Raw genomic sequence first — 15,770 nt, forward strand, 5'->3', positions numbered from 1 at the left:
ATTCTACATAAATTGGACTCTTCTTTGCCAGATTCAGGTTGCCGTAGTTATGCATCGTTCAATGAACCTATGATCACATCTCCTGTGGGCAGTTTTAATGCTATACCATATAGGTATAATTTGAATTTACTTTTGGAAGTCACTTGCTTTGATATATTTTTGGTTTTCAATGTTTGTCTAATTCCTTCTTTATCACACAAATGCTGAATAAGAGCCTCTGAATAGATGCCTGATTACTTATGTTATTTGTTTATAGAAAAATAGCATCAAAACAAAAACCAAAATGTTTCATCCATTTTATCTCAAACCATGTTTCCTGTGAGTCCTAGATGATGCTATGTCCTGTGATGGTTTCTGTTTTTAGATATTACTTCGGCTGGAAAGATCCACATGAGTTCAACCAAGTTTTCCACACTGCCCCCTAGATTATCCTTGATCTTATACTGGCAATTTCTGCTGGTCAAAGCTGCTGCTGTCTACGAATATTCTTTCTCGTCTTCTTAAGGCCTTTCCTAAAAATAAAGAAAAACAAAAACTTTCTCTGTTATGTTCACTAGTCACATACAACACTTTCTAATGCCTTGGATTGCTAATTTTTCTGAATTCTACTCTAAGTATCTTGGTGTGATGGTTAATATTGAGTGTCAATTTGATTGGATTGAAGGATGCAAAGCACTGTTCCTGGGTGTGTCTGTGAGGGTGTTGCCAAAGGAGATTAACATTTGAGTCAGTGGACTGGGAGAGGCAAACACACCCCTAATCTGGGTGGGCACCATCTAATCAGCTGCCAGTGTGTCTAGGATAAAAGCAGGCAGAGGAACATGGAAGGATTAGACTGGCTGAGTCTTCTGGCCTCCATCTTTTTCCTGTGCTGGATGCTTCCTGCCCTCGAACATCAGACTCCAAGTTCTTCAGCTTTTGGACTCTTGGACCTTCACCAGTGGTTTGCCAGGGGCTTTCAGGCCTTTGGCTACCGACTGAAGGCTGCAATATTGGCTTCCCTACTTTTGAGGTCTTGGGACTCGTACTGACTTCCTGGCTCCTCAGCTTGCAGACGCCCTGTTGCGGGACTTCACTGTGTGATTGTGTGAGTCAATTTGCCTAATAAACTCCCCTTCATATATTCATCTATCCAGTTAGTTCGGTCCCTTTAAAGAACCCTGAGTAATACACTTGGGAGTCAGGATTGGGTCATATTTTGTCATGCATCCCTCTCAGGCCCTACTGCTGAGAGTAGATATTAGATGAAAATGTGATTTATTTGTTAACTGATTAGTTAAAACAGCTAACATTTATTGTGTACTTACAATCTTCAAGGCACAATTCTAACCCAATTAACCCTCAGAAAACTCTATGAGTTATGTACCTTTATTTACTCCATTTTCATGATGAGGAAACTGAGGCTTAGCGAATTTAAGAGATTTACCCAAGGTCAGGGATCTAGTATTGTCTGGATACCAGGCTGCTCTGCCAGCTGCTGCAGTCTCTGTTGTGCTACAGCTGTGTTACAGCTTCTGAAATTATTCTTTCTTACACATTTTTTTTTCTGCTGCTCTGTTTATACGTGTATTTCAGTTACAGCATTCTACTATCTTCTATGTTTTGTAACTATTAATTGAGCAAAACGTCTAATCTGAGAGCAGTGTTGCATTAAGTATGACTTCCTAACTAAATTGTGGCATTTTGTTTTGGGGATGTGGCAGCACCATTTCATCTATGACTGGCAGGTGATGAGGAAAGTGGTCAGACTTCGCATATCCAATAACCTTGGATTTGTGTAATGTGTGATGTCATATTGCTTGAAATTCTAATTTTGTAGGAAGGAGTTAAAAACTGAATTCAGTGGAGGACCATGTCATGGGGACACAAAAGTTCTGTGCCACTTATATTGTGTGCCTTGATATAATGCTGAGGTTGGAATGCTAAAATTATTTTTCCCAGAGCCCCCTGCAGCTAGCATTCTTGATGTGAATTAAATTCCATCAATCAGATATATTTCTGTGAGTCTTGACTACAGAACCAGATTAGTTTGGAAAAGAGGTGGAGTCAGTAATATCGATTTTGTTTATGCAGATTATGTCAACTGTAACAACCAATTTCTCAATCTCCTTGTCAGCTTTCTGATTCTACAGCTTCCTAGTCAAGGCAAAATGTTCATGGCAGCTCAGTTTGTCAGTGTTCTTCCTGGAAGTTCAGTCTAAAACCTGTTTCTCTGGTCCTTTTAACAATCCTTTTGCTGTTTACTACACTAGAATAAATCCTTTCTGCTTAATCTTGGTAGAGTGAATTCTGTTTTCTGCCAGTGACTCTAACTGATGCAACTGTGTCTGACTGATACACTCTCTATGTTTAAGTGTTAAGTATTAAGCCAGCTTTTATAGATGTGTGCCTTAGCACAGGGAGGAAGAAACAAATCTTTGCTTTAGAATAAAATGTTTTAGGCATTGGTTATTTATTCCTGTTAGCAATCTTTTCATTATGCTAATAAAAAACACTTTAAAACAATGTGAATACTTCAGCATTGAGGTTTATTATTCTACTCCATATGTATTTATTGAGTGCCTACGCTGTGTCAGCAACAAGTCCTGGGGAGAGAGACACTGCAAAGAGCACAACAGATGGAGTCTCTACACACGTGTAATTCACGGTCTTCCCCATCAACTTACAGATTGAATCAACTTCTCATGCTCATTCATGGTTAGGTTGCCAAATCAGCTAAAAGTATTTCAAAAGCTTAAGAGATATTGATAATACCTCAGAATAGAGATAGCTCATTTTGGCATTTAAATTGCTAATTTCAAGGGTGGCCTGCTTACTAATCTATAAAATGGGGATTTATATTTATCTCTTATGATATAAGGATGGTAAAAAATAGCTCATCATGGAGATGATTATGAATCACTTATATGTGGATAAATCAATTTAAAAATATCTATTTGGCTGTAATGAGGGGAATTGTAGTCATTGTTAACTCTCAGTACTAGTAATAATACAGAGAACCTGAGGAGAAACAATAAAATCTTTCCTCAACAGTGTGCATTCAAATGAAGCTCAGGTTGTTATTATGCAATGTATATACCACTTAAATCATCCCAGTGCAGGAAAGCTCTATAAAAAGGGTCTATCAATTTATCTACAGAATGGCCATATGCAAAAAGAATATAAGGGAACTTTTCCATATGGTATTGAATTCATTCCAGTTTCAAGAGCAGGAATTCCAAAATGGACTATGCATACCATTTTGTGTGTTAAATTAGGAAAGAATGTGTAGATCTTTTCAGAGTATTCTCAGCCACAAAATGATTGAATTATTTATTAAACATTAAACAGTTTTATATGGGGATTGTCAAGCTTGATATTATTTATTAGGTCAGTAGGTCAGTATAGGTCGGTATATACCCATCTAACCACCAAAATTAGAATGCATATTTTGTGTTTATTTTTGTAAAGCAGAAATAGGAAAGTATAACTCTCGTTCTTTCATAGGGGATGAATGTTAAGAGGATGGAAAGGAGTTAACCTAAGAGTTAAGATCTTCATAGTAAAGCAGAAGATATTTGCGGTTGTCAGGAAAGTTGCATACGTGTGCCTATGTGCATCTACCTGTATGTATATTATTCTTCGGGTGGAGTGAAGATAGTAAGAACCTAAAAGATAGTAGAAAATTCTCAGCATGGCAGTTGGAAGGGACAATAGTGATAGTGCGAAGGAAATAGAAGATGGCAATGCAGATCAACAGAGAGAGCTCAAATGTCATAAATAAAAGCATTTTTTCCTTAGGAATCTCTATTGCAAACAAGATACAATGCAATGGCCAAGAAATTAATGATGAAGACATCAAATATAGAAAATTGTTCTGAGCTTTAGACAGAATGGCACAGATCTCCCTTGTTTAGTTTATGCCTCCCCACCAGCCTCTATTTTCTCTCAAATGATGGTGAGTTTTATGAAGATTTGCACATCTCAGTGGGGATTTAATGCGATATTTAGCTTTGAGATACAACTTGTATTTGTAATGAACGCTGTACGGCTGAGAACATGTTATAACATTGAGTCTTATTTCTTTAGAAATCAAATGAATATAAAATATCAGAATATCAAGATGAGAACAAGATGCGTGTTTTTACTATTTAATAAAATTTTGTGTATTAATTTTGGAAGAATGGTTGAATGGATTAAATAATCAACATTAAAAGATAAAGTACAGTATCTAAAGCTTAGTAGATATTTTATACATCTTAGTAATTGTAGCTATAATTATAAGAAGCATAGATATAATCCCCTCTTTGCTACATGGGTTAGTGTCTAAAAACTCTTGGGAAAAGCTGAGCCATCCTAAATGTAGCTTTCTGCTTGTACGCCAGAATCCATCACTGAGTTCTTACCTTATTGTATAGAGTCTGATAACAAGCAATAAAAGTTGCTTAGTAATCTAGTTTCTTCAAATTGAGATTCTATAGCTATATTTCTATCCTTTTATATTCTTTGTACAACAAAATTGGAGTTCAGCTCCAAGGTGGAGTCCTACTACAAGCTGCTAATAAATCCTTCTTGAATTCCACACCTCGTCTACTTCCAAATTCCCTTGCTCTTGCCTAAGCATGCACACATCCTAAGCCTGCTCTTGACCTCTTGGGTGACATCTTATTGTCTGAAACTGATACATCACTGTTTTCTCTCTTTCCTGAGAGAAGAGTGCAATAAATTGTCATTTTCAGTCATTTGGGAATTCTAAGTTCTTTTTAAGGACCTTCATTTGATTTGTTTCCTGGAAGCATATTTCTTGTATTCACCTCATCTGGACTGCTTTTTAATTTCCACTATGTTAAAAGGAGTGAGATAGAAGTGTTTCTCTGGTCATCTAAAGAACCTGTCCATCTGTGTGGTGACCCTAATGACCTTTATAAGACTGAAGAGTTTGCTTTAGAGCTCAATATCCAGGTGGGAATAAAAAGATGTGACATCCAAATGTAGCTTTCTTACTTACACTATCCAGACAGTGAGTTTGATTCAGTGATTTAACTTATCCAAGAGCCTATTTTCCCACTTCTATACTACATCATGTCATATTATAGCCCATTATAAAATATATACATATATAAAGTTCAAATCATTTTGATTACTCATATGCTATATTATATACATTCAATGTATTATCCTCCAAAAAAGACCCAAGGCTACCAACTGGCTAATATCCATCAAATACATCAAATTACTAGATTAGTCTTATTCTATCTTCTACTTACAGGTTTTCTAATTATTTGTAATAAATTTTTTATTATTCTGATAATAAAATTAATGTATACTCCCTGTGGGAAAAGTTCAAAGAGAATAAAGGAGAAAAATGTCCTTAAGCTTAGTACCAAGCAATAACCAATGTTAGCAAAGACTTTCACTGATTATATTTAAGCTGCAAATTTCTACTTGAAGGTTGTAAATGATAGATTGTACTTTGACTTTCATTTATCCTAAGACTTATTGACTTTTCTCTTAACCTTACCTTTGAATGTTAATTATTTTTAATGAGATACCAAACATCAGTAAAATAAACCATTTAGCAGCTATAAGAGTTAATGTAGTTTCAACCTACTATCCCGATGAATAATGATGGACTTTAGCCATGACATATATTCAGCATAATAAATCTAAATACAAGCTGTGATAAAATTTCTCAAAAATCACAAAACTAAGAAATACCCTATATTCAACAATGTTTTTGTTCACTCTAACTTTATCGGCAATTCAGTATATCATTTGTCTTCCTACTCCTGTCCCCTTTTTGTGTTTTTTAAACAGTTATTAATTTATAGTCTTAGCCACACTCCTTCACTTTACAGGGTAAGAAATTAAGACAGTGAAGTTAAGTAACATAAATAGTTAGCAGGACAATGAGAAACACCACAATTCTATTTGTTCTCCATTCATTGCATCGCAGCCTTTTATCTATGATATCATGCAGAGGAAAATTAAATACATTTTAACTTATTTGAAACTGAATTTGTTTAATGCTTTTTTTTTCTCCAGCAGATTTGCAAGGGAGGTTCCTAGTTATATTTTTGTAGGCTAAAACTTGAATAAGTTTGCATTCTTAAAAAGTACACATGAATTAGGTGGGTGGTTGTGAAGGGAGGTAAAAATAGAGGATTCTTGTCTGGAAGTCCACAGACATTTTTGGAAAAGGCCTCCCAACAAGATTAAAGATTCATCATGAGTAAGTCACAGGCAAATGTATGTATAAGTACCCGAGGCTTCTGTTGAATATATCCCACCTTCACTTCTCCCCTGCCTTATACACCCTTACTTCATACACACCCACCCTTTCCCTCAGAATAGGGCTGATATTTAGCATGTATGTATCAGCATGGCCATACAGATTGTTAATATTAATATTGGTTGATATATAGCTTCTTCCCTTATGTGTTATTTACTCTTGTACAGCCCCTCTACAATGTTGCTCTAGGATCCAGCAACTAAAGGGTTAATGACTCATGGAAGAGGAACTCCAGGACTTTGTCCCAGTGTTTCTGTTGTTTGCATTTACTCTGATTGTCTGATGCCATACCACACTGTTGTTAGATACTTAATATCAATCTATACACACCAATATTTGTCTTCAATTATTTCCATAAGAACTTTTGGCAGAAGAGAAAAGTTGGATCAAAGGAAAAGTCAGAAAGGAAGAAAAAAGGCTGGAGAGGTGGAATGATGCTACCAAGCAGGGGAAAAGGTAGCACCAAAGCTAATGGTATTCTTCTAAAGTGATGTTGTGTGCTTGTGGACAGAAGAGGGCCCTTCAAGGACCTGATTATGGTGTGGCACAGAGTTGGGGATGAGGGCCTATTCCCAGGCCACACACAGAACTGCCCACCACTTGAGCCACTGGAAGATTAGAAGTTAGGGTTCAAGTGGCGAGCGGTTCTGTGTGTGGCCTGGGAATAGGCCCTCATTCCCAATTCATACACTTAAGCAATGGTAGTTGAATACTATCCTATTAACATTTTGATTTTCCCAGGAAAAGCTTATGCTTACTGGTTTTCATCTCTCTCTCCCTCTCTTTCTAATCAGTAAAAATTATTTCAGGCATAGACGGGCCTTAAATGCCACTCATTTAGTTCAAAAGTCCATCACATGGCCAAATCTCATTTCTAACGTACCTAACACCTCATCAACCAGGGAAAGAGAAAGAAAAGTAATACTATCTGTTGCATGCTTGCTCTGATTCTATATACTCTGCTATTGCTATGTGCTTTGCATACATTATTTAATCCATCACATGAACCCTTCGAGGTAGATGTTTTTATCATCTCAGCTGAGAGACTAAGGATACTGAGTTCCAGAGAGGGTATAGATCAAGGCCATACAACTAGTAATGTGTAATGGCCAGAATCTGAGATCAAGCTTAGAATGTCCCATAGCCCATAATCTTTGCATGTCACCATTTTGCTTCTGTAATGTGTGAACACCACTTTTGGAAGAAGATCCCTACCTATGAAATAGGCCAATTTTATCCTTGGTCAGTTCCAAATTTAATGAGAGACCAGGAGATCATATTCTATCACATCTATTGAGTCGGGTATCTGGTGCAGATCCACTTTCCTTAGAGACATAAGCAGCTACTTATAAACGATCTCTACTCAAGCTGCACCAAAGTTACGCTGTCATTCTGGATTTTGAGTGACACAGCCTCAAGCTGAACCGCTGGATACTTTTTCAGGCTGACCAGCCCACCAATGAATATCCTAAATAAAGTCTGTGGTGATAACTCTCCCCCAGGGAAAGCCAATGTAGTTGAGAAGTTGCAATCATGCCTCACACCCACACTCTTGTTGCAATATACCAACCCACATTTGCCTGTTCATAGTTACACAATTGTAATAGGCCTACTTTATGTTGGAGGATTCCCACTCACTCCAGGTAAGGGGCACATTTATGTCGAATTGAAATCTCTCTTCTTCTGACTTATGCCAATTTGTCCTGTTTTTATTCCTTGGGATCTTACAGAGAAGGTGTAATTCTTCCATACAATAATTCTTCAGATAATTAAAGAGTACCGTGCTGTGACCACTGAGTCCCGTCTTGTGGGTAAACTGTCATTTCTCCAAATATTTTATGCATGGCATGGTTTCCAGTGTCTTCCTCATCCTATATCTTGGTTTTGAATTTCCTTTAAATTCCTCTTAAAGGGCAGTACCCAGAATTTAGCAACATACCACTTAAAAATGGCCAGCTAAAAATAGAAACCACCAGTTTATATATTCTAGGCACTGAATAAAGCCTAAAATTACATGAGTTTTATTTGTTTGGTGTTTCTGGTAACACAATACCATTTCACTATATAGTGCAAAATATCACTTGAAATCTCTGGGTTTTTCTAATGCTTTTGCTAAGTCATGTCATGTTCTCTTCTTACTTCTTCTTAATTAAACTTTGAGATAATTGTGCTTTCCATGCACTTGAAAGAAATAATACAGAGAGATTGGTGGATTCATGTAAGAAAAAATAAAGTGAGACTTGTGCATTATTTACCTAGTTTCCTCCAATTGTAATAACTTATAATGTCAAAACCAGAATACTGACATTAATATAGTGAGGATATAGAACATTTCCATCACCACAAGTACCCAGCATGTTGTCCTTTTATAGCCACATCTGCTTCCCTTCTGCCCCCAACTATTCCTTAATCCTTGTCAGTCATTAAATTGTTCTCCATCTCTATAATTTTGTCATTTTAAGAATGTTGTATGCACAGAATTACAAAGCATGTAATCTTTGGAAATTGGCTTTTTACACTTAGCATAATTCCCTGGAGATTCATCCACGTTGTTGCATAAATCAATAGATCCTTTCTTTTTATTGCTAAATAGTACTCCATGGTATGGATATACCACAGTTTATTTAACCATTCACCTATTGAGGACATCTAGATATTTTCTAGTTTGGGGCTACTATATAGAAGGCTATCAAAGAAAATAGTGCACAGGGTTTTGTGTAAAAACAAGTTTTCATTTTTCCAGGACAAGTGCCTGTTTCTAATCCTCTTTGACAAAATGTATTTTCATATATTTTACCTATTTTCTAATTGGATTGTTTGTTTTAATTGTTGAGTGTTTTCATTTGTTCTAGATATTAGTCCATTGTTACATATGCAGCTTGCAAATAAATGAATTCAGTAAAGTTCCGGGATGCAAAATCAATGTACACAAATCAGTAGCACTGCTATACACCAACAGTGACCAAGCTGAGAATCAAATCAAGAACTCAATCCCCTTTACAATAGCTGCCAAAAAAAAAAAAACTACAAAAAAAAAGCAAACAAACTTAGGAATATATCTAACCAAGGAGGTGAAAGACCTCTACAAAGAAAACTACAAAACACTGCTGAAAGATTCATAGATGATACAAACAAATGGAAACACCTCCCATGCTCATGGATGGGTAGAATCAACATCGTGAATATGACCATACTGCCAAAACCAGTCTACAAATTCAATCCAATTCCCATCAAAGTACCACCATCATTCTTCACAGAAAGAGAAAAAATAATCCTAAAATTAATATGGAACAAAAAAGAGCCTACATAGCCAAAGCAAGACTAAGCAAAAGGAACAAATCTGGACAAATCACATTGCCCAACTTCAAACTATACTATAAGATCATAGTCACCAAAACAGCATGGTACTGGTATAAAAATAGGCACATAGTGATGGAGCAGGATAGAGGACCCAGAGGTAAAGCCAAATACTTACAGCCAACTAATCAAGTATAGATGCCAGAGGGCTTGTCTCACTCTTCTTTCCATACCCCTAGTTTTTAGCAATTTATGTGCCTCTAGTGTGGGCAGCATCTTGCTCTCCTCTTTGTCTCTCCTACAGTGGCAGATCACTGTGGATCCCGCTACCAGAGGCAGGCTGATTTCACTTCTACCCTTTACTTGGTAGCCTAGGGTGCAAGGAGGATTGCTGTGCCTGCCCTTATGGCATTTGCTTCCTTTGAGTGAATGATCCAGGGAAGTGGGTGAAGTTTTGTATTAGGCCCCAGCAGCAGTGGATCCCTCCTTGAATGCCTGCTCCAGTGAGAGCCACTTTCTCACTCTACTGCTTGCCTCCAATCTGTCCTGTAAGTCCTGAGTGCAGACCCACGAAAATGAGCCTAAGCATGAGTGTGCACACCCCTTCTGTCTGGGCTCCCAGATTCAGCAGTCCCCAAAGCTTTTTGACACCAGGGACCAGTTTTGTGGAAGACAATTTTTCCATGGGCAGCAGGGTTTGGTTTCAGGATGAAACTGTTCCACCTCAGGTCATGAGGCATTAGTTAGATTCTCCTAAGGAGCACGCAACCTAGATTCCTTGCATGTGCAGCTCACACTCGCAGTAGGGCTGGGGATCCTGTGGATCCTGTGAGAATCTAATGCTGCTGCTGATCTGACAGGAGGTGGGGCCCAGAAGGTAATGCTCTCACTGCTCACCTCCGGCTGTGCTGCCTGCTTCCTAACAGGCCATGGGCTGTACCATGGGTATCCCTGCTCTAAAGTGATATATGAGCTCACATGCAGCCCTTAGGCATATGTGAAAATGTGAAATGATTTCTTCTTACTTGTTTCTGCCGCTTTCTCCTGTGCCTTACCAAATCTGAAACAATTTGAGTTTCCTGATTTTCCTCAAGGAGGCCTGTCACTTTGGCATTAAATTCACTAGGTTGTCATGCAATCTCAGATTTCTGATGGTTTCCAAAAAAGGATGACTTTGTAAATGATTCAGCCTTTTCTTTTTGTTAGGATGGGAGCAATGTTATCTTGTGGCTTTCTAGTCCCTAAGTGGAAGTAGAACCTCCCAGGAAATGTGTCACACACAAATAACACTAACCAGAAAGAAGAAAAAATAATAATAAACTGGACTTTACAATTAAAAATTCTTATTTGTAGAAAGACATCACAAACAGGCCGGGCACGGTGGCTCATGCCTGTAATCCCAGCACTTTGGGAGGCTGAGGCAGGCAGATCACGAGGTCAGGAGATCGAGACCATCCTGGCTAACACGATGAAACCCCATCTCTACTAAAAAAAAAAAAAAAAAAAAACTAGCTGGGCATGATGGAGGGCGCCTATAGTCCCAGCTACTCAGGAGGCTGAGGGAGGAGAATGGCATGAGCCCGGGAGGTGGAGCTTGCAGTGAGCTGAGATTGAGCCCCTGTACTCCAGCCTGGGCGACAGACGGAGACTCAAAAAAATAAAATAAAAATAAAAATAAAAAAAAAGAAAGAAAGACACCACAAACAGCATGAATAAGGAAGCCAAAAAGTGGGAGATGATCTTTTGTACATCATCTATAATCAACAAAGGTCTCAAATCCAAAATATAGAAATCCCACAAATAAAAAACAAGAAGACAGAAACCCCAACAGAAACATGAGGGAGAGTGAATAAGCACTCTCCACATAAAAATATTCAAATAGGCTGGGTGCAGTGGCTCATGCCTGTAATCCCAGCACTCTGGGAGGCAGAGGCAGGCAGATCACTTGAGGTCAGGAGTTCGAGACTAGCCTGACCAACATGGAGAAACCCTGTCTCTACTAAAAATACAAAATTAGCCGGGTGTGGTGGTGCATGCCTGTAATCCCAGCTACTCAGGAGGCTGAGGCAGGAGAATCACTTGAACCCAGGAGGCAGAGGTTGCAGGGAGCCAAGACGGTGCCATTGTACTCCAGCCTGGGCAACAAGAGTGAAACTCCATCTCAGAAAAAAAAAAAAAAAAAAGAATATCCAAATAGCTAGTAAACATACTAAAAGTACACAACCTTATTTGTGATCAGAGAAATGCAAAAGAAAACCACAATGAAATACCACTACATACAGAAGAATTGCTAAAATTAGGAAGATGGACAATACCGTATATTGGGTAGATCTATACAGTGCTTTTGAAGGTGGGGATGTATTGGTGCAGCCACTTTGGAAAAGGGTTTGATATCATCTACTAATGTCGAATGCATGAATTCACTATGATGTAGCGATTCCTCTCCTAGGCATACAACAAACAGAATTGGGTGTGAGAAGGTGCAGATTTGTGTGTGGATATTTATACTGGCACTACTCTTAGTAGCCAAACTAGAAACAACCCAAATGTACCACAGTAGAATGGATAAATACATTGTGGTGACTTCATCCAATTGAATATTATGTAGCAGTGAGAATGAGCTACATCTATACTTGACAACATAATGCTGAGCAAAAGAGCCAGGCACAAATGAATATGTAGTACATAACTGTGTTTAAATAGCATCGAAAACCAGGCAAAACTCATCTAGGATATTAAAAGCCAGAGAAAGAGTTATCAAGGGAGGGGATTGGGCACTGTGAATGGACAGAGGCTTGGGGAGGCTTCTGAAACACAGGTGACATTCTCTTTATTGATTTGGAACAATACGTATGTGTTCATTTTTGATAATTAACTGAGTTACATTCACGTTCACTTTGTGATAAGTAACTGAGTTACACTGTGTTCATTTTGTGATAATTAGCTGAATCAGACACATTATCTGTGTACTTTACTCAATATAAATTATGCTTTATTAACAAAATTAACTTATTTATTTCCCCTGTGAATCTCCATACCCTAACCCTAACTAGGAACAAGTGGCCCTCCAGGATGCAGGATGAAAGGTGAGAGTCTCCTTGGTCTCCCCTTTGATATACATCCCTGAGATTTTATTAGTCATGTTCTGAATTCAGTTATTTTCAAGGAGCTGTTTGTGACAGCTTTAGATAGTCATCCTCTTACGCTGTTATAAAAATCACTCAAGAGCTGCAACATTTTTACAATATCTTGAAAGCATCATCTTAAGGTTTATTTTCCTCAATTCACAGTGAGTTTCTCTATTTTGTGTTTCCAGCAACATATGTCTCCAATTTTATTTACAGCATATTTATGTCCATGACATTCCATCCTGATGAAAACACGATTTGCCACTGGGCATGTGAAACCTTCACTAAGAGCTGCATGCCATTAAGGAGTTCTGGATTTCCCTCTTATGACTGATGGGTTTGGCAGTGAAATCTATTTTGTGTCAGGGTTCCTGGTGCCCTGAAATAATCTGTAGCAAGGTTCTGTAAGGCAGATGTCAGCCAAGCCCCTCTGCTGGGTCCCCTTGGGGTTTGTGTCTTCATGATCACTTCTATTCTGTACTTGGGTAAAACTCCTGATCTCTCTTAGGTCTCAGCTCATAGAACTGTTCCCATTTCTCTGTGGTAGGCAGAATTGTTGTTTTTTTTTTTTAAATATACTTTGAGTTCTGGGATACATTTAGGTTTGTTACATAGGTATACACATGCCATCGGTGATTTGCTGCACCCACCAACCTGTCATCTACATTTAGGTATTTCTCCAAATGCTATTTCTTCCCTAGCCCCCCACCCCACGACAGGCCCCAGTGTGTGATGTTCCCCTCCCTGTGTCCATGTGTTCTCATTGTTCAACTCCCACTTACGAGTTAGAACATGCAGTGTTTGGTTTTCTGTTTCTGTGTTAGTTTGCTGAGAATTTGTTTCCAGCTTCATCTATGTCCCCGCAAAGGACATAAACTCATCCTTTTTTTATGGCTGCATAGTACTCCATGGTGTATATGTGTCACATTTTCTTTATCCAGTCTATCATTGATGGGCATTTGGGTTGGTTCCAATTTTTAAATGGCACCTTAACCTTTGTCTCTGATGTTACTCCTGTGGTTCTCTTACATTACATGGTAAAAGGGATGTTGCAGATGTAATTAAGTTAGTTGACTTTGAGATAATGACAAGGGATATTACCTGGGTGGTTCTGGCCTAATTATATGAGCCCTTTAAGGCAGTGTTTTATCCAAAAGATAGCAGGAAAGAGATTTAAAGCCTGAGAAGGTTTCAATGAGCCATTGCTGGCTTTGGAGATGGAGCAGACCATGTGCAAGGACTGGAAAGTGGCCTCTAATTGCGAGAGTAACCCCTGGCTGAGAGCCCGCAAGCAGAGAAGGCCTTTGTCCTACAATTGCAAGAATCTGAATTCTGTCAGCAATCTGAGAGAGCTTGGAAGCAGATTCTTCTCCAGAGCCTTCAGATTAGAAAGCTTCCCAGCTGACAACTTGATTCTGACCTTGGGAGATGCTAAACAGAGAACTCCATCAAACTTGCCTGGACTTCTGACATACAAACTGTGAACTAATAAATGAGTGTTTATCATTCAAGTTAATCTTAACTGGAATGGTGAGCTAATAAGACGATGCTGTTTTAAGCCGCTAAATATGCCATAATTTGTTATGGGGTGACAGAAAACAAACATGCACCCCACTCCCACACCCAACCCAGGATGTGGAATTCAGTACATTTTTCCTTGATTTCCAGAATACAACAAACGAATATGCAAGGCATTTGTGCTTGTTACAGGCTTTAAATAAAGATTTTAAAAAGTAATCACTAGAGATACATTGCAGATTCTTGCAAGAGTTAACCAACATTTTAGTTAAGATTCTCTGTTCTTTCAAAGCCACTTGACCATTTCTACCAAATCTAGAATCATCCTAAATTCAGAAATTCCTTCTCTAATTATTTCCTAGGACCATATTCATCAGCCCCACATTGGTACCTTTATTGAGAGCTAACTAAATAGCACTCTTCTCATTACATGCTCAGTTTTTCATGCATTCTCTGATTTAATCCTTATGACAACCCTGGGAAGTAGTGATTATTATGCTTAGTGTAAAGATGAGAAACCTGAGGTCCAAGATATTTATCAATTTTATTCGAGGTCACATAGTTTAATAAAATCCAGAAGCAGGATTAGAAGTCAGTCACTCCAATGTTAAGCACTTTATTCTTAACTGTCATACTTTGATGACTCTCAGTTTAGCGGTGCTAATAACTACCCAGTGAGTGTCATGATATCTTTTCTCTAAACTCCTTAGAAAAAATTGCAGTTGATAGATAGATTACTCTTGAGTATTGTGGTCACCATTAGGGACAAATTGTAAACAGTGGTGTTGTAGGTATCAGAGAGAGATTCTGACCCATTAAACTGCTCCCTCTTCATGGCACATAGACCCTCCTTTGTCACCTCAGTGGTACAGACACCCAAGGGCATCTTCATGAGATGTGATTGACCTGAATTGGATGGCCGAGTAAAGCTTTGGATTTGGGAATGAACTATTTGGGCTCACTTGCAGGGGTGAGGGGGGTAAGGGTGACGAGTCAGAGGAAGGAAGGCTGTTTACCGAGAAAGTCACTTCAGGGAACGCACTGTCCTTCCACAACCGACCACTCATTATATTAACTTGGAAGAGGGATTATCCGAGTTTAACGTCTGAAATAAGAAACAGTCCTTAATGTAAGGTTTATAAAATACTTATATTTAATTTTTGTAAGACACTGTCTCACCTTGTCACCTAGGCTGAAGTGCAGTGTTGCGATCTTGGCCCACTGCAGTCTCAACCTCCCAGGCTCAAGTGAGCCTCCTGCTTCAGCCTCCTGAGTAGCTGGGACTACAGGCATGCACTACCACGATTTGCTAGTTTTTACATTTTTTGTAGAGATGGGGTCTCGCTATGTCACCCAGGCTGGTTTCAAAATCCTGGGCGCAAGAGAGCTTTTCGCCTCTGCCTCCCAAAGTGCTAGGATTATAGGTGTGAGTCACCATGCCCAGCCTATAAAAGACTTTAAGGTTTGTGGAGATGAAAGGTTGTTTGTATACACATACACTTAAATATATACACATACATTAATTTTAAAACTATAATAAATTAAAGCCTTACCTT

The 15,770-nt window shown here is 38.5% G+C and overlaps 1 long non-coding RNA gene across 1 annotated transcript; it reads right to left on the reverse strand.

Annotated features, from left to right (window-relative positions):
- Positions 1-233: 233 nt before the first annotated feature.
- On the reverse strand, positions 234-15,309 carry LOC105370260 (uncharacterized). Its single transcript, XR_942091.3, has 3 exons — positions 15,231-15,309; positions 11,884-12,013; positions 234-512 (listed from the first exon to the last, which is right to left on the reverse strand). It is a non-coding gene; the product is annotated as an uncharacterized LOC105370260 (long non-coding RNA).
- Between the last annotated feature and the right edge of the window lie 461 nt (positions 15,310-15,770).

The sequence above is a fragment of the Homo sapiens genome, chromosome 13 (genome assembly GCF_000001405.40).
Source record: "Homo sapiens chromosome 13, GRCh38.p14 Primary Assembly".
In the NCBI taxonomy this organism is placed as follows: Eukaryota; Metazoa; Chordata; class Mammalia; order Primates; family Hominidae; genus Homo; species Homo sapiens.